Below are 19,907 nucleotides of genomic sequence, written 5' to 3'. Positions count from 1 at the left end.
AAATATTTATCAGGCAGAGTCCAATGAACAGATATTCAGAAATTTACCCTGAATAAGCAACATTTTCAAAATAGGGGTGCTTTGATCCAGCAGAATGGTCTGTCCTTTTGTAATAACAACAAGAGATCCTTCTTCTGGGGGAGATTTTCCCCCCCATGAGAAATTGGAGGACCAGGCATCAACATAAAGAAAGTCAGCATTATCCTGTAATAGAACATAAGAGACCTTAAAATTTAGGGATTTTACCAGAGTTTTTCATTCGATTTTTCAAAAAGCATTTTATTACAATATAAATATATTTATATTATATAGTAAATATATATAAACAATAAGCATTTTATTAATAATAAAATCTAACCTACTTAAAATGTGTCATAATTGCCTCTTGGTTTATTTCACAATAATGATCAAGTTTAAAAAATCTATTACCAATTACCCCACAACTCAGAAAAATCAAAAATCTAAAATAATAAAAATTTTAGGAAAAGCAACAAAAAATGTAAGCTACTTTAGATTTATTATGGTCACAGCTCAGTTATTTTTTTGGAGACATTAAAGTAAAACAACAATTACCAATTAGCCCACCTCCCATAATGCTGGTTTTCTATTGCTGTGATTACTATACCCAACAGCACTATTACCAGTTTGGCCATGCCGACACCTCTGATGTGGACACAAACTGGAGCCCACCCTGATAGAGTATGGGCATCTGTCATGCAGATGATGTGTGTCTTGTTGGAATACTCAACATCACATTTGGCTTCAGCTATGGTGATATGAACATCCTCCATATTTTCACTGTAAAAAAGAGGGAAAACATAACATGTATGTTTTTCTCAAATATCTAGATCACACTGTCAAACCCTTTTATTCCTATGTATTATTGCAAAAAAAAAATGACCTGATTCTATCAGCCACCAAAGTGTAGATTGATGCTTTTTTTCAATATTAAGACTTCAAAATATTTATTGAAAAAAAGTAAACAAAGAGGTTAAGAGTCCAGAAAATAGGACTGTAACTAGCAGATGTTCCAGTGTTGGGGAAAGAAACAGTGATTGTTGTTGTTCAGTGATTCTATGTTGATCTCCCAACAGGTACTTTTAAAAGAGATTTTCAAGGATCACTTGTCCATGTGACATTTTCATCATGTTTGTGGACTTTAGAACTTAACCTCCAGATAAAAATGCAAGTTCAAGGTAATCATAACTGCTTGAGGAGTTACAATGAGCTTCTATGGTGTATGCGATCTGGTGTTTTGACTTCAGCCTTCCGCACCTGAATAATGATGACAATGCAGTACACAAATTTGAGCCAAATAATGAGTATGTTTAAGAAAAAGAAACTTGAGCAATTACAGTGGAATAGAACTGCTGTATGGAAAGATGTTTCTTTGATCCAATGAAGCAGATCATGGCTGGAGATAAGATGATGGAGAAAGCATAACAAGAAGGTGATTTATATTTGTGATGCTACATACTAGGATTGGGGGCAAGATGTCTAACCTGTTTAATCTGTCTTCTAACCATAAAACGAGGTAAAAACATCTCAGGAAGTAAGGCAGGACTTCTCCGTGGGTAGGCAGGTAGTTGCCACAAAATAAATACTCAATAAATGTTAGCAATTAGTACTATTTTTGCCTTAAGCTTAAGTTACGAGCATATAGGTACACATTGCATGACTGTATTTCTGCACTGTCCGGGCATAGGAGAAAGCAGGAGTAATGGCTCAAGTCTGGAAATGCACAATGATGCGTGTTTGTGTGGAGACAGTACCTGAATCCTGATCCCACGACTGTCAGTCTGGTGCCCCCTGCTGTACTGCCTCTCTTAGGAGATACTGCAGTGATGAGTGGAGTCAGTGACACTGCGTACGTAAACGGAGTCATGGACTGTGACAAATCTTTCCCATTAACCACACTCACTTCACAGGCTTGCTCAGCTCCCGTGCCTATGAAAGGAAGATCAGACTGAATGCAGTTCTGCCATCGGGCCCTGATTCATTTCCAAAACCTCCAAACATTTTCAATAACATCTTCCTTTTCACACAATCATCTTCCTTTTCCAATATACCTAGGCTACATGTGAATAATAGTGGCCCTCTAGCAATAGCCAAAAACATTACAAAAGTTCATGCCCATTATCGACAGAAGAAAAAGCCCTTCGACCCTCCTGGGGAGACTCTTCCTGTAGAACATTCTACAAACCTGCCTGCTTAGTTTTCCAATTCTAGAGGATCCAACTTTGTAAATTAGAACAGGAAGGAGGGAAGAACTGCTTAAAGGCAGGCACACTGACAACAGCAAGGAGTGACAGCTGAAGGCAAGGTCAGAGACAAGGACTACAGAAACCTGATGCAAAAACATAACGAGAAGATGCAGAGCCAGTGTTAAGACAAACAACCTAAAACCTTGACAAGTCTCAAAGCATTGCTATATATATATATATTTTTTAATCAGGATTCAAACTCTGGTGTGGAAATGATACATAAGCTCAGTCATAAAAATATTGCATTTTTCAATATTCTTTGTTAAGGAAGTCAGAGAAAGAAGCAACAATATTTAGAAAAGCTTCACAAATTTTGCTAAGGTTTTAAAAAATGTGTTCACATAAAACATATCCTTTATTCTTATAGAATATTCACATTGTTTAAATATCTTCTTAAATTTTGTTAAGTAATAACTAAGTTTTGTTGTCCAAAGTACCAAATATTTAATCTTCACAACAATCCATTGAATTAGAGTTAATAATATCCCCATTTAATACATGGAGAAACTGAAGCAGAGAGAAGTTACTCGGCTAGGGTTACACAGTAAGTAACAAAATTGAGATTCAGGAACTCCTCAGAGCCCAGGCTCTTAACCATTAACTAAAAATAAATAAGTAAGAATAAGAATAATAGCAAATTACATATGGTCCTAGACATCATTCCATCCACTTTATGTACATTAACTGATAAAACCTGACAACAGTCCAGTAGACTACTGTGATTCATCTCACTTTATAGTTGAAAAAACTGAGGCATAGAGAGGTTAAATAACTTATTCAGTGACACAAGTAGGGTTTGAGTTTAGCAATGCACTATCGGCGTTGATACTCATAGCCATTAATGAAACTCCTATCTTTAATGGAATCCTAATACTCTAATGGGAACTAAAAATGTGTTCTCCATTTGGTATGCACAATAAACTAAGAACCATCAGTTTATACCAGAAACTGAAAAACTGCAATTTATTATAAACAATTCCATCTGCAATTTATGAATCTCAAAAGACATGTAAATCTAGAAAATGTCCTGAAGAAATTGCTTAGAATCAGGACAGTCATAAAGTGATTTAATTACTCCAAGGAATCCAAGAACTTGAAAAAAGAAATTAACTGATCTTTATAAAATTAACTAGTTCTCAAAGACTGCCATTACTTTTTCTGACAACTTACCATTATTAGATGGAATTTCACATAATAGTGTTGTGTAATCAGATCTAAGCCTGTCAATTGCACATTCTGAGCCACAAACTAATATAATTGAATTTTGTGGATTAAATCCGGTGCCTGTCACAGTCATGGTTTGACCCCCACCAAAGCTCCCTAGTGAAGACAAATAAAAAGGAAAAACAAAGCTAATTAAAATAAAACTTCTTCTGTGTACATATTTTTTACCTTTATTTTAAATGTTAAAAGTAAGTTACATTAAATGAAGAGTTTTTTAGAACTGAAATTATAGTGCATTATTCTATTAATGCAACTGAATCTCTTTTGATTGTAGTGTTTTAAAATCTTCACTGAGTAAATGTCATATCTGGTAATTTATTTGAACTATTTCGAGGAACTAAAATTTTATTTAAAAAAGATGTCACAAAGGATTTCAGAGTAGGCAAAACATAGACTATGCAATTACTATTTTAAGTAGATTGGTTTATTTATACTTTCTCAAGGTTTTTAACTAAAAAATTTTTTAAATAAAAAAGATACTAATTTATGTAGAAATAATTACATACCAGTGATGTCTAAACATGATTTAAGAAAAATTTTCATGTATAACTGTCATTTTAAGTAGGATTAAGTTTTAAGTAAATTAATCATACATCACTAAGAAATATAAGGTATTATATTTTAAAGTTTAGTATTTTGAAATAAATAATTATACACTTACATGCTTATTTATTTGCTACATAAAGCAAAGTATTTGTATTGTGCTATAAATTTTCATGGTGAAACCCCGTCTCTACTAAAAATACAAAAAAAAATTAGCCAGGCATGGTGGCGGGCGCCTGTAGTCCCAGCTACTCGGGAGGCTGAGGCAGGAGAATGGCGTGAACCTGGGAGGCAGAGCTTGCAATGAGCCAAGATCGCGCCACTGCACTCCAGCCTGGGCGACCGAGCGAGACTCTGTCTCAAAAAAAAAAAACCAAACAAACAAAAAAAACACTAGAAATTTTATGTGTTTGAGTAACATATTATTTTCTAAATAAGGTTTCTAAATAAGTGTTTACTGAAACAAAATATCTGCAGGTTCTTGCATACTTATGACTACCTTGGCTTGGATTAATATTTTGAATATTAAGCGGGTACTCAAATACAACTGTGGACATGGCTGAGCCTTTTGTCTTATGATGCATCATAACAGGAAATGTGCCCCCAGCATGATCTCCCACGATGCACTGCACCACACTATCATTGGCCATGGTTACATTACACTGAATGTTATTTATCATCACGGAGATTTCCAAGATCTCAAAGCCAAAGTTGGATCCAGTGATCTCAATTTCAGTTCCTGGTGGACCTTAAAAAAAAAAAAAGCACACAATATAAATATATCTAACTATTAATACACATCCATTTAAAGATATACCTCTTTACTTTTACAAATAAAAGAATAACCAGTGTTTTAAAACTAATATAAATATTAACAATACATGCTATGTCATACAATACATTTTGACTACAATATACCCTACAGTCTACTGTATATTAATTATAAGTGATTTATCTCAATGTTTATTATTTTTCCAGCCCTTCTGTCCGTTCTACTGAGTTGTAAGTTATTAATTCACGCTAATAGAGAATAGAGGAGGAGGAAAGAGCAGGTCTAGAGTTAGGAAGTATGAATGTCTGAGCAGCATGGGTTAGAGCATATTTTAAGGATGAGGCTTACTATCTTTATTTTTGGTAGCTTCCTTCCTGACATTAGCAGCTCTTTTGAGGAGAGACTACATTTTTCTTAATTCAAACATTTTTGATAGGTATGACTTGGTAAAGAAATTATGATATGTAAATGGGTGTAAGATAGGAAATACAGAAAAAAGGAATTAATTTAAAGACTTGTAGGTGAATGTTGATGTTAATGCCTTGAATGAGTGCACATAGAACAAATAATTAGATTCTGGCTGTTCTCTTGCTTCCCTCTTTTGACAAATGTACGTGAAGGGCATTAAACGTGGAACTTTTCATAGGTTGTTCAAATGAATATCCACATACCTAAATTTTAAATGAAAATTCGTCAACATAACTTTTTACAAACGCAGTGCCCTCAAGTAGTAATTTGATTTTAATTCAAGTGATAATAGTAAAGAATTACCATATAATTGACCATAGTGAGGATTGCTTAAATATAAATAATTATTTTATTTTAAACGTGACAGATACTAAAGAGATATTTCATGTTAGGAAAGTTTTTGTTTGTTTGTTTGTTTGTTTGTTTCGGAGATGGAGTCTCGCTCTGTCGCCCAGGCTGGAGTGCAGTGGTGTGATCTCAGTTCACTGCAACTTCTGCCTCGTGGATTCAAGCGATTCTCCTGCCTCAGCCTCCCAAGTAGCTGGGACTACAGGTGCATGCCGCCATGCCTGGCTAATTTTTTGTATTTTAGTAGAGACGGGGTTCACCATGTTGCCCAGGCTGATCTCGAACTCCTGAGCTCAGGCAATCCGCCAGCCTCAGCCTCCCAAAGTGCTAGGATTACAGGCGTGAGCCACCGCACCTGGACAGAATAGTTTTAAGATACAATCTAAAGAAAGTTTTACAGGTCTTAACATTTAATTTTGCTTGACATTTTGCCTTTCAAATGGAACAGCGTTGTTCTCAGTGTGCTCTGTCACCTGTCTCTTCAGCAAATAAAACAGCTCAGTTCTCACATGTCTGCAAGTCTCTTATACCTTTGAATACATTGTTTTGAAAAAAAAAATTCAAAGGCAGAGATGGGAAGAGACACAGTCCATGGAAATAAGAAACATATGCCATTATTTGCAATGATTACAACCACATGGGAAAAGAAATGTGCCATTGTTATTGTTCACATTTTTCAAAATGAGCAAATTTGACATATTAAAGAAGATTTCGACAGCAAACTCGTTGAAGGCAGAAAATACTACTTACTCAAACCTGATACATTTCCCTGTGATGTAACCTAAAAAGACTTTTCTAAAAGGTTAACATTTAATGAGTTCTTCATTAAATGTACTATTCTAAGTTACATTATATGAATAAACTTCTTTAACTTTATAATGTATGTACCTGCATAAATAAGGAAATTGATGTTTTAAAAAACTTGTCCAAAATTTCATCGCTGGAAATTAAAGGAACCAAAATTTGAACCATTTGAGAGCCAAGCTCTCAACTATTATGCTATAGCTTCCTCTCCGGAATTCAGTACATATATTCTAATAGCTCGAAGCATTCTAATAGCTCGAAGATAATCAGAAATAGCATAGCATAATGACAAAGGACTAAGAAGATATATCAACCTATTGTTAAATTAGAAAAATGAGTCATGCTAAGTAATTAAGAAAATCGTATTTTATAATATTTTCTCCATTGAATGGGCCAATTATCTCCTTAAAAAGAATTCTGGCATGCTAATAAGTTAATATTCATTTGTAGTTTCATGGAAATAAGGTACTCTGAAACACTCTCAATGTAAGTAAGATTGTAACTTTTGATTTTTAACTAGAGTTTCTAGTGCAAATCAACATCAATAACATAAATGAATTATCAGTTTTGGTCTATCTTCACTTATTTTTTCCTCATTTGAAATTTAGGTCAGGTTAATGGGAATTTTGTTCCTAAATAGAAGTTGAAATTTGGCTAAAATTGTTATCCCATAAATGTGTGAAAAATAATCATACAATAGAGACTACACAGAGCTTGAATCCCAGGTATTAAGTGTAAGTGGGAACATTTATAAACACACCTTAATAGTTATTTACAAATATCATTCCAATTCCATACTAATAAATATTATCGATACTATAATATCAAGATAATAAGGCAGATATTGGAGTACCTCTGCTTGGGATAATTCCTCTGAGAAATGGAGTATCCTCCAGGGCATATGTAAAAAGCAAAGGTGGATAAGCAATTGTATTAACAAAGATTTTAACATCGACCATTCCAGTGGTCCCAGCGGGAGTGCGGCAGTAGACTTCATTGGGGTTGATGGAAATAATTTGACAAGGTTCATCCCCAATAGTGACTGTAGTGTTGCCTGGATAGAAGCCATTTCCTGTGATCACCAGTGTAGTTCCACCACCAATGCTTCCAGAAGTTGGTGATAGAGATGCTACTGGGGGGCTGCTGACAGTCAGGTTTCCCAGAGCCAAGCCTTTACTTCCCACCACAACACTAACAGAATGATGTCCAACTGGGAGAGGAGTCACAAGAGCAGTGATGTTGTTTTCATTAACCTCTATTGCTCTGAACTGTTGATTTCCAATGAAAACAGCAATGTCCTCCAAAACAGTCCCCAAACCTTCTCCTTCAATAAGAACTTTTACAGATCCTATGACAGAGTTTGGGAAGACTCCTGTTATGTAAGGAGTGATGCTTTCTAAGTATGAAAAGGTGCAGTTTCCCTGGCACTGGGCAGGCACTCCATGTATTAGAAGATCTACATCCACAAGCTGTTGGGCAGCAGGGGATGTTTCACATTCAATGGCCGTATAATTCACTGATAGAACTTTACATGGGAAATGACCCATAAGGACTTTTACACCTGCAGAAGAAACGGCAAATCCAGAGCCTTTTATGGTCACGCTTGTCATTCCTGTAGTTGATCCTGCATTTGGCAACACCAGGTCAATGTTTGGCAAAAGTACAAATCGCCTATCAAATTCATTGGACAACGTATTGATAGCAGTGCCCAGGTTGTAGACAGTCAAAGTGACAGTTTCCCTGATACCAACATCCATTGAGTTTTGAGGGTCAATATGACATGTAATTGAATCCTCACTACTTTCTTCTACGACACAGGGGTAGCTACCAATTGTAACCTGTAAGTAAAATGAATACAAAATAAAACAAGTCAATACATACCTCCAGTATAAACAAATTTTGTATTAGCAACAACTACAAATTTTAAAAGTTAATCATGTGCAAATAAATATCTTTTATTCATAAATTTAATTTGGGAGGGGCTGATTAACGCATCTCTTGGATTAAATTATGATTTTTACATAAATGTGCATTGCTACATTATTCATAATAATCAAAAGGTGAAAACAACCCAAATGTCCATCAACTGATGAATGGATAAATAAAAGGTTGCTTAACATGCAACAGAATATTATTAGGTCACAAAAAGAAATGAAGTACTGATACATGGTACAACTTGTGTGAACCTTGAAAACATTATGTTGAGTGAAAAATAAATAAACTTGGTCACAATGGACCACATATTGTATGATTCTATTTACAAGAAATGTCCAGAACAGCCAAATCTATAGACAGAAAGTAGATTAGAGACCACCTTAGGCTGGGATCGATGGAGGGGTTAGGTGTGATATCTAAGGGCTTTAGGGTTTTTTTTGGGGGGGGGAGGTAATGAAAATGTTCTAAAATTGATTGTGTGATGAATGCCAACTCTGGGCCTATGCTAAAAGTTTATGAATTGTACACTTTAAGTGGGTGAATTGTATGGTATGTGATATAGCTCAATAAAGCTGGTAAAAATTAAATAACAAGGTTATCGTCAAAATACTTTTATTGGGAACATATAATAGAAGTACAAAGGAGGTATTTATATTCTTACCTTATTAGCCCATGGGAGATTACTAAAGCCATGTCCAATAATTGTTATTAGTTCATTTACTGTTCCAGTGGACGGAGTAATGTTGCTTATAGATGGTGAAAAACAACTTGAAACCTCAAATAGCAATCTTTTTGAATTTTTAACCCTGGTATTGTTCAGGCTGCACAGGGGTTCTGTTGCTAGGCAGCCTGCCACAGAGCTTCCCAAGTGCAAATTCTCAGGTCCTCCTTTAGACAAAAGAACTGCCCGTTAAGTCATGAATAACATTCCAAAATGATAACTGTTTTCAAACTGCGTTACTCTTTATTTTGATGATGATGGTTTAAATTCTGGTAAATCTTTTTTGAAAAACAAAATGACAAATGGGTCTTAGGCAGTACAAAAGTATTAAAGACCTGATCAAAGATGTCACAGTAAATAGAGAAAACTGAATATAAAATTGATTTATTTTTCAGTTTGTCCAAGGTCAGACCCCATGGGGAAAATAACAACGTCATCTTACATTTTAATATACGTCCAGGCACATACATAGTGTCAGAACTTTTTTACATTACTTCTCATTGGAAGCACACAAGGATTCTGGGGGAAAGACTGGTAGGAAGACATTAATGCGATCCTTACTTTAGAGGATAAATTCCAGCCTCAGAGAAGCCCAAACCTATTCAAGGTCACGTGGCTAGTAAGATAGAAGCACAGTTAGACCCAGTTATCTGCTACCGGCTCCAGAAATATCACATACACCCTGGGTCACCTGTGTAACAGAGTTTCCATCTTTAACCATCTTACCATAAGCATATGTGGCTTCAGAGCGACCCACAAACAGGTGCAAGGGAATGTGTCTGGTTTCAGCTGGTAAAACATTAATGACTCCTTGGAGAAAAATGGAGTGAGCCTCATCAACATACCCGCTGCTATAATAATGGATTCCAGGAGAAGTAAATTGGTAAGAAAATGAACCTGCCATAAAATGAGATTGTACGTAATAAATATAAGCAATTAATGCATATTTGAAAAGAGACTGAAAACAATTTGAAATGATCATTTAAATGCACATACAGATGACAGTTTCTTATTTTTCATGTGTATGAAATGTCAACAGAATGTAGTAAGAAAACTCGCTATTAAAAGCTATCTTGTGTAACGAAATTACATTCCATGAAAACAAGTTCCGGCATTGATTTTCTAGAAAACCATGGCAAGTCTGGCATAACACACCAAAATTTAAAGAAAATTCAACATGAAATGAAAGAAAATTTTTTTTTCGTGAGTGAAAGGTTCAAAATCTTACATGTACAAAACAAAACAGACAATCTAAAAGGCACATTTTACACTGAGCTGTCCTGTAGGAAACACTGATTTTAAATTGATTTCAGTCAGTCAAAGTTCATCGCTTGCTACCAGATTGGTTTGATTTAAACATATATTCCTATTTTATTGCATTTTGCTTTTTCAATATGTTTTTCAATTGGTTGATTATCACAGAATCAATATAAGATATTTCTAATATCAGAACACACTTGAATATGTATAAAATAACTTGCTTACACTCATTAGTAACATTTTTACTGCAGCAATAAAATGCCAAATACCTTACGCATTTGTGTATATTATTTATGTAAAAATACTGTATTAAATCTACACAAAATGTCATTTTATTACATTTAGGAAAAAGTGACATGATGCAAAACCCAATAAGCAGAAACATACCTGATGTAGATTTTTGTCTTCCACTTGTGAATCCTTTGCCATCATAAATTACACTTCCAGGACTGGAGACAGAAAAAATCCTATATCCTATCCCTCTAAGAAACGGATGTGTTTGCCAATGCCATGCCACTGTGTCCCCCACAGACACATTTAGGACTGGTGGTGACCAGGCATAACCTAATCCATGTACTGGGGGCAAGAATTGAGTAATATTTTAAAAGAAAAAGAGAATTTCTTAATAATTATCTTTGACAACATGGCAATTTATATACAGTCAGTAGTGAAAACATTTTAATCAACACTAAAACTTAATTACTTACATAATTTAAGCACTTAACAAAAACAAATAGAAATAATGGAAAGCAAGGTAATAAGAAGATAAGAAAAATTAAGTCACAAAACTGCAAAAGCGATGATCAACAGACAATTTGAAAAAAAAATTGGAAAGTCAATAAATAGTTTGCTTAGAAATCTTACATAGAATATTTTTAAAGCTATGATCAATTTTAATTGGAATATTCATTTGGAAATCCATGACTGATAATAAACTACAACAATCTGGGAGTTTCTGTACTAGAGCAAAACCAAATGGTAATTCCTGAAGTTGGAAATTGCAAAGTATGGCCTTCTAGACTCAAGTCTACCACTAATTTGCTCTATATGTGACCCTCTATGTCAAGCAGTTACTGCTGACAAATTATAAAAGAAATAACAATACTTAGTCTCTCAATAATTTGAAATATAAAATAAATAAAAATCAAATTAATTTCAGGTTTCAGTGCTTCCATTATTTCATAGTATATAAATGGCTGATACCTGAATCTTTCCCATTGTTGGTAATCCTGAATATATTCCCAGTTGAATGAAGAATACATTTTATGACATTTTCTGATGATGATGTAACATTGCAAGGGATGGACCCTAGAAAGAATAAATACTGCATATTTTTAAAAAGCAAACATTTTGTCAAATTTTTTTTTGTGAATTATAGAGATGAAGCATAATTCATCAACAGCCAAGACCCTAAAAAAAACTCTGCCTTATATAGCAGGATCTTCAGAACTTCTTTTCTGATAGTAATCATGTGTGAGTACTAATTATTTGCGGAAAAACTCCTCCACTCTATATGTCGCATACACATTAAATACACAGTAATTATTTATTGAAATAAAAAGTAGTTATTCAGTTTCTCTTTATCACTTTAACCAAATACACTTACCTTTTTTATGCTACTAGAAAAATAAAGCTGTGATTTAGAATATTCATATAATAACTCAGCACCTGTAGTATATCCTTTAAGCTGAGAAAAATGATAATCACTTTCCTATGAATGAAGCTCTTACCTAACAGCACGGTATTCTCAGCTGGTATTGTGCTGAATCCAAAACCCCTTATGGTGATTTCAGTTCCACCAAACAAGGAGCCTCTTTGTGGAAACATGCTGGTCACTTCTAAAACATACTGTATTGAAGAATTTAATTTGTCTCTGAGAAAAAAAATGAATAGATTTTTCAATGAGCTTCCTACTGATTTATCTTGCTAAACTCTTGCTAGGATATGACTTCTTTAGAAAGAGGAAATAACTGGATATTTAACTGTACATTACTTTTTCAAGATAGACAATCTGGCAATTATCATAATCTCGATTTGATTGGATGATATATTCAATATTTTCCCTAACTATGAAAATTACATTTCTGAAAATTCTAATGGCAGAAGAATTTGAGATGGAAGATCCTACAATATTATGGAAAAATATGCTTATGAGAACTGAGGTCACAAGAAATACATTAGATTTTTAAAAATATTTTATATTTTCATTAAACTAAAACAAAAAGGCAGCTCTGCTTTAAAACTAGCAATTAAATCTCACACATTTGAGTAATCAAAGTTTTGTATAATTAATTTGAAGTTATTATTCCACGTTTGTTGAAAACTTGTCAGGGTCTCCCTTCCCATTACTTCAATGAGAGAGTTTTTAATTTATTTTGCTTGGTTATAATGCATCTGCTAGGAGGCCATCAAAATGTAAATTCTTTTCTGATATGACATATTTGACTTCCAAATCCCAACTTCCCTCGTAACTGCAGAGAGGCAGAAAAAATCACGTGAATCATTGTGTTAACTTTTAACTTCCACAGCATAACCTTGTTATTTCTTAAATCTGAATGAGCAATTTTGTATGGTGTCAATTTCACCCATTATATGGTCAAGCTACAGCATAAGCCAATATAGAATCCATGTGAGCTCTGCCCTGTGAAACCAAGAGATGGATGTAGTGCTGAGGTTTATGTTTAATGTTGCTCATCTTCATTTACTTCTTGCAAGATTTTGCTGCAATCATCTCTCCTTCTACTCTGACATTAGCTGTATTGGCCTTTTTGCATCCATAAAATTTCAGTATCTTCCTTTTCTAAGTATTCCAAACCAATAACTTCCTCATACTAGAACTAACATTTTATCAGTTAACAAACAGTTTCAGGGAAAAAGAAATACTAAGTCCTTACAGAAAACTGAGTTGGAGAAAGACTCTCTGCATCATCTCCTTCAGATGGCCACCTCCTACCCATTTCTTGGCTTAATTGTCAGCTTTTCAGAGAACTTTTCCCTGATACTCAGGATAAGTTAGCTCTCTCTATTATAGACTCTTACTGCACCTGGTACCTCTAACTCACAGTATTTTTCACATTTACAATTAAACTCTTGAGGTAATCCTCTGTTTGAAATCTCTCTCTCCAAGAAAATTGTGAGCACCATTAATGCAGGGGAGATGCCACTCTAATCCACTGTAAATCCAGCCAGCAACACTGAGCCCCTAGAAGTTACTTGATATGCATTTCCTGAGTGAATCAAAATCATGTGACATATACATAAGGCTAGTTGTACAGAGAATTTTACAACCTGATCTGAATGGTATTGGTCTCAAAACTATGCGTCATATTGCAGTTGTATGAGATATTCTCGGCATCTTTTGCCAAAGAAGATATAGGAAGGTAAAGAGAACAATTAACACCTAAAGCTTAATGCCCACTTCTTTTCCTATCCCAATTCCACTAGCCCCATGTGTTCTACAACTCCATCAAGTTTATGTTCATTATCATACCTTGTTGATGCAAAACCCCAGTTTCTGACTTCTACATAGATATCATGTTTTCCAGGAGACAACTTGGGCAAAAGGCATCTAATATCTGTGAAGTTCCAGTGAAGAATCTGGCAGGTTTTTCCTCCAACATACACCGCCATGTTTTGTGTGAGTTCATTTCCAAAATTATAGCCCTTAATTGTTAAATTAACTTCTCCTGGTATTTTAAAATTTAAAAAATAATGCAAAAAGTTCAACTTGTTATCCAGTGTGAAATTTGCATATTAAATAAATCAATTCATCTCTCATCTTTCATTGGATTTAGGAAATCCTAACACTTTGAGAGGCAAAAGGAAAAACAATGAAAGAGTTGGTAACAGCCACAGAGGGATGAAATGTACATTCAATTGCTCAAAAGGAAAAAAGATGACAAAGTCCTTTTTTAAAAAAAAAAACTTACTATTTTTCTCCTTATTGCATATGTTCAATATAAAATAATAAATAGATTAATCTATGATAAAACATACACACACATAACACTATAACTGGTTTCACTTTAAGAAACAAAACTACAGAAGAAACTATGCTTCAAAAGCCTTTCTAGAAATGTTTTTTATACATAGGACAAATGACCAATCTTATTGAAGAATTTCTTACCTAGTATTGTTCGTACTTTTGGACTAAAATCAGTTATAATTGGTGTCTGTAAACAATTATAACTAAAAGCATCCCTTGCTGTGGCTTGAAATCCATTGGTAGTAACTGAAATATCAACTGTACCCTCAGTTTTCTAAAATAAGAGGAAAAAAATTAGAAAATATTAATTGTTGAGATACAGAAATGCAAGGGATGAAAAGAAATAGATTATTCAGAATAAACTTCTGAAGATGTTTTACTTCAAAGTCAAGATCAGAGTCAGTTTTCATATATTTAGAAAGTTGTGGTGTCAAATATAGGTTACATGCTTGAGTTCTCAAAATAAAGTTACATGACATAGTAGTTTTATGGGTTTTATGATCAATTTAAATGCATCTATATTATTGGATTTCTGATGGCTCTACAATATTGTTGAGATGCTCTGGAGAAGTGATTCTCTGATAAAGCATTAGATACTAAAGTTTGACTTTTTGCTTTTAAAATAGACAGGTATAGTTCTTATTTCTCTTCTCTGACAAATCACATCATTATATCTTTTGAAGACCTCACTCCAAAATCCAAGACTAAGCACTTGGACCCCCTAAGAAAACTATTTGATGCTTTTGCAGATATAGTATCCATGCGATTCCCAACTAGGAAAAACATTTTTTCACATCTAGTATTTATTTAATCCACACTCAGTGTTTAACCAAATGACATATTGTAAACAAAGTAAGTTTTAGCTTACCATATCCCCTCAATTCTCATCTCCATCATTTGGTCCAAAAAACAAATTTATTTTTCCTGCAGATTGCAAATACATAATACCCCCATTTACTCTGCTACACTTTTTAAAAAAAGTCAGTGACAGGATTCATTACGTTTTGGCATGTAATAAGGAAACCAGAGTCTCAGTTTAAATTTAAAAACTATGTTTTATGTTCCCCTTCCTGTGTCCCTGGGGCCTGTTGTGGGGTGGGGGGAGGGGGGAGGGATAGCATTAGGAGATATACCTAATGTTAAATGACAAGTTAATGGGTGCAGCACACCAACATGGCACATGTATACATATGTAACTAACCTGCACGTTGTGCACATGTACCCTAAAACTTAAAGCATAATAATAAAAAAACTCTGTTTTAAAAATAAAGAATAATGATTGATTCTAAGACACAATATTCCACAGAGAACTTCACTTTTTTTGTGAAACTGAAAATTTAACACATTTAAACTAAAACTTTAACACATTTAAAAATGTATTCCTGGCCAGGCGTGGTGGCTCACGTCTGTAATCCCAGCACTTTGGGAGGCTGAGGGGGGTGGATCACAAGGTCAAGAGATTGAGATCATCCTGGCCAATATGGTGAAACCCTGTCTCTACTAAAAATACAAAAATTAGCTGGGCGTGGTGGTACATGCCTGTAATCCCAGTGACTTGGGAGGCTGAGGCAGGAGAATCGCTTGAACCCGGGAGGCAGAGGTTGCAGTGAGGCGAGATCGTGCCATTGCACTACAGACTGGTGACAGAGTGAGACTCCGTCTCAGGAAAAATAAAGTATTCCTTTTTGAAAACTATTATTTTCTAGATTTACTTTCCTGAAATCTTTAGACTACTCATTTTTTTCATCCTTAAACTTACCATGGTAAACTCTCATTCATTCTCAAATTCTGATAGGACATCAACTTTTCTGTGAAACTGTTTCTGACACCCTCTCTCCACTGTGTTTTATGTTTACTTTGTTACTACTTCTATTAATTCAAATGAAATACATTGTTTAATATTAGTTTATGTGTCTCTTTTCTTCATGATTTTAAGTATCTTGAATGTGGAGACAATATTTTGTCTTTGAATCTTAGTGGAAAGATATGGAAGAAATAAGTTTTAAGGAGCATAATAGAAACCCTGCAGTTCCTAAGTAAATACACCACTTGTTTCACCCCCCGCCCCACTGAGATGTTTCCTAATTTATAAGATTTCAGACTTAGGAGGAAAAAGTGACTGAAATCAGAGGCCTTACTTTTGGTGTCCTGCAGGTTATCCTATTCAAATCCCCTTCAATCACATTGCAGGTTTCATTTCCAACTAATACCTTTGAATTTTCATTAAAGCCAAATCCAGATAAAGTCAGTAGAGTACCACCTTCATAAGAAAAGCAAACAAAAACAACAACAAAACAGTTCAACTATAACAAAAAGAAATGTTAGTAACATTTTTTGAGAATTGTCTTTTGAGAATAGTCTAATGATCCAAGAGATGTACTGGCCAATAGATCAAGGACCAGACTTGAGATGAATGCAATCCCCACCACACACCTGAGCCTGGGTGCTTTTGCTCAGAACCATAAATGAGCTGGGCTAAGTGATTTAATGAAATAACATAGATTTGCAACACACATTTGCTTTGGGGCATTGGTAGCAGCATCTGCTATTTTTCACAGTGCCTTCATCCTACGAATAATTATGCTGCTTCTATTCACTCAACCATTCTGTGGGTGGAAGAGGAGAGTTAATTAAGACTCTTGCCAAATCTCAAATTTTAATACCTCTAAGTAAAAGGAAAACTAAACTTTAAAAATAAGCGATGAAATAATGTAAAATAAAAGCATACCAAAAGGATCAAAATCAAAGCACAAAACCCTAAACTACGCCTGGTAAAAAAAACAAACAAATGTACAAAGGAAATGAAGCAGGACAGGAAAAATGTGTTATGTTCTTTCCATCCTGTGTGTTAGCCCTCCTTTCCCCAGTTTGTTCCCAGAACTTTGTCTGGGTCAAGAAGCTCCACTGAGACTGTGGTTACAAACGAAGCAGCTGGTAAGCAGAATAATAACTAATAAATCTTATCTTGACATAATTGATGTGCTTGTTATAGAAACATGTAATAATTGATGATATTAATTCAATAACCTAAGATGTAAGTATAAGCAGCACCCTGACTTGTGCTTTGTAAGAAACAAAAGAATTAGTCAGCCATTTAATCACTGTACCTTCTCGAAGGAGACTTTCCTTTGTTCTATAAGAGGAAGCTTTGGGATCCTCTCCCTTCACCCTGTACTAGAAACAGCACATTGAACTGATGGAAATGCATGCAATTTTCTCTCTGTTTAAACTATTAACCATTACCTGCTATGCTTCCAGAATCAGGCCAGATATGTGAGATCTGACTCTGATAAACAAAGTAGAACTCTTCACCCCCTACATTCTGTGCTAGTCCAACATCAGCCATGGACACAGCAACGGGGGCATGTCCAGCACTTCCATTCAGAATCTGGCACTTGAGCTCTTTTTCTTGTGAAAAAAAGAAAAAGATGAAGAAAATGGTAAATCAAATGGTTTTATGAGATAAAAGTTATGCTTGCAAATACTAACATTGGCCTTCATTTTTAGATCTCACGAAGTATATCCAAAGAAAACCAATCATATATTAATGTGTGGGGGAATCTTAGGAGGAATAATTCTTACAAACTACCTGAGGCTATGAATCAGACACTCCTAGAAAATAGGTAAACCAATAGTGAAAGCAAAGTAATCAATCTGCTTCGGATGCTACTGTACCCAAAACAGACTATTGTCATAATTTTTTTAAAAAAAAAACTAGTTTATAAGCTCATTTATTTAATAATTCTAAAATTTTTGGTCAAACATATTATGTCTGAAATTGTGCAAAATACTACGTTTTATCAGGAAAGATGATCAAAAACTAAATGAAGGGCAGGCGCGGTGGCTCACGCCTGTAATCCCGGCACTTTAGAAGGCTGAGGCGGGTGGATCACCTGAGTTCAGGAGTTCAAGACCAGCTTGGCCAACATGGTGAAACCCTGTCTCTATTAAAAATACAAAAAATAGCTGGGTGTGGTGTCAGACACCTGTAATCTCAGCTACTTGGGAGGCTGAGGCAGAAGAATCACTTGAACCTGGGAGGCAGAGGTTGCAGTGAGCTGAGATCATGCCACGGTACTCCAGCCTGGGCAACAGAATGAGACTCCATCTCAAAAAAACAAAAACACAGAAACCAAAACAAAACAAAAACAAAAAACAAAACACCAAAAACAAAACCAAAAAAGTAAATGAAAACATTTTCTTACTTTTTTTTTTTTTGAAATGTGACCATTTAATTCCTCAGCAGAGATGTATGTATGAAAACATAATTTCTATCACTGGTGATAGGAGAATTTGATATTGAGGATTTCATGAGTTGGGAAGAGTGATATTTTTCTCTCTTTTTTAAAATTATACTTTAAGTTCTGGGATACCTGTGCAGAACATGCAGGTTTATTACATAGATATACACATATCATCGTGGTTTGCTGCACCCATTAACCCGTCACCTACATTAGGTATTTCTTCTAATGCTATCCCTCCCCTAGCCCCCAACCCCTCGACAGGCCCTGGTGTGTGATGTTCCCCTCGTTCTCATTGTTCAACTCCCACTTATGAGTGAGAACATCTGGTGTTTGGTTTTCCGTTCTTGTGTTAGTTTACTGAGAATGATGGTTTCCAGCTTCATCCATGTCCCTGCAAAGGATATGAACTCATCCTTTTTTATTGCCGCATAGTATTCCATGGTGTATATGTACCACATTTTCTTTTTCTTTAGAACACCAATAATACAGGTGCAATATTGACTCTTAGAGCTTAACAATGCATAAAAGAACTAAACTAAAAACAACAGAAAGGATTTGGTAAATGAATTTACTTATGTAATTTCAATTGATTTAAGTTAAGAAAAATCTCCTAGAATTATGAAAGACAACTTTTAGGGAAATAAATAACTATGGCCTTCACTATTTCAAGATGTTAAAAAAATTTGAATGATCTTTAAATTCTACATTAATGGAGAGAGGTTCAATGGGACTGGAAGTCAGGAGATGGCCAGGTCCTCTTCCTGCATGGCATTGTCAAAACATGGGCAGACAGGACCATGGAACACAAGAGAAGCATTTCATACATTTTTGTGTCCCAGAGACACACCGATGCAAGAAAGATTTCATGTAACCTCCAAATGAAGGGGGGAAAAAGGATAAAATTAAACTGTTATGGGATAAAGACACCGTACAACAATGAAATAGTCTGTGATCATAATCAAAGATAAGGCATTATATAGACCAGGTTGCCAATTTCATGACCCCATAGGGATCATGATAATTGTAATACTGGATCATGATAATTGTACACGATCAAGATAATTGTAATACTGCCCTTTGATTCCACTTTATCTTAGAGAAGAACAATTAGACTTAATAGTTTTTAAAAGGACCTACCATCCACAGAAAGAAGAGAACAACCTACTGGTCCAACTGAGACTGTTACAGCTGAACTAGGAGAAAATCCAGAACCCACTATGGTTAGAATTGTGCCTTCTTCATAGGACCCTAAAAATGATCAATTTAAATAACAATATTAAAGTTAGAAAAATAAAACCTGTTGTTATGAAATCAGACATTTCTCAAATAAAAATAAGTC

General features: G+C 34.8%; 1 protein-coding gene across 7 annotated transcripts in view; it reads right to left on the bottom strand.

Annotated features, from left to right (window-relative positions):
• The window catches only part of PKHD1L1 (PKHD1 like 1), a 174,747-nt gene that overhangs the window by 84,286 nt on the left and 70,554 nt on the right, over positions 1-19,907 (bottom strand). For 5 of the 7 annotated variants that reach the window (NM_177531.6, XM_011517371.3, XM_047422421.1 and 2 more), the window contains 16 exons: positions 19,706-19,816; positions 17,568-17,732; positions 16,463-16,584; positions 14,466-14,598; positions 13,830-14,025; positions 12,070-12,212; positions 11,543-11,647; positions 10,727-10,915; positions 9,806-9,976; positions 9,020-9,246; positions 7,277-8,261; positions 4,531-4,779; positions 3,435-3,584; positions 1,773-1,947; positions 642-798; positions 48-204 (listed from right to left, as the gene is read on the bottom strand). In NM_177531.6, coding sequence (NP_803875.2) covers positions 48-204; positions 642-798; positions 1,773-1,947; positions 3,435-3,584; positions 4,531-4,779; positions 7,277-8,261; positions 9,020-9,246; positions 9,806-9,976; positions 10,727-10,915; positions 11,543-11,647; positions 12,070-12,212; positions 13,830-14,025; positions 14,466-14,598; positions 16,463-16,584; positions 17,568-17,732; positions 19,706-19,816 — 3,435 coding nt within the window. Of the gene's footprint in view, positions 1-47; positions 205-641; positions 799-1,772; positions 1,948-3,434; positions 3,585-4,530; positions 4,780-7,276; positions 8,262-9,019; positions 9,247-9,805; positions 9,977-10,726; positions 10,916-11,542; positions 11,648-12,069; positions 12,213-13,829; positions 14,026-14,465; positions 14,599-15,192; positions 15,431-16,462; positions 16,585-17,567; positions 17,733-19,705; positions 19,817-19,907 lie in introns of those variants that run through there. The other 2 variants (XM_017013971.2, XM_017013974.2) reach the window with 2 other exon arrangements.

Source organism: Homo sapiens, chromosome 8, assembly GCF_000001405.40.
Source record: "Homo sapiens chromosome 8, GRCh38.p14 Primary Assembly".
Classification (NCBI taxonomy): domain Eukaryota; kingdom Metazoa; phylum Chordata; class Mammalia; order Primates; family Hominidae; genus Homo; species Homo sapiens.
This window is presented reverse-complemented; position numbering and strand designations above follow the sequence as displayed.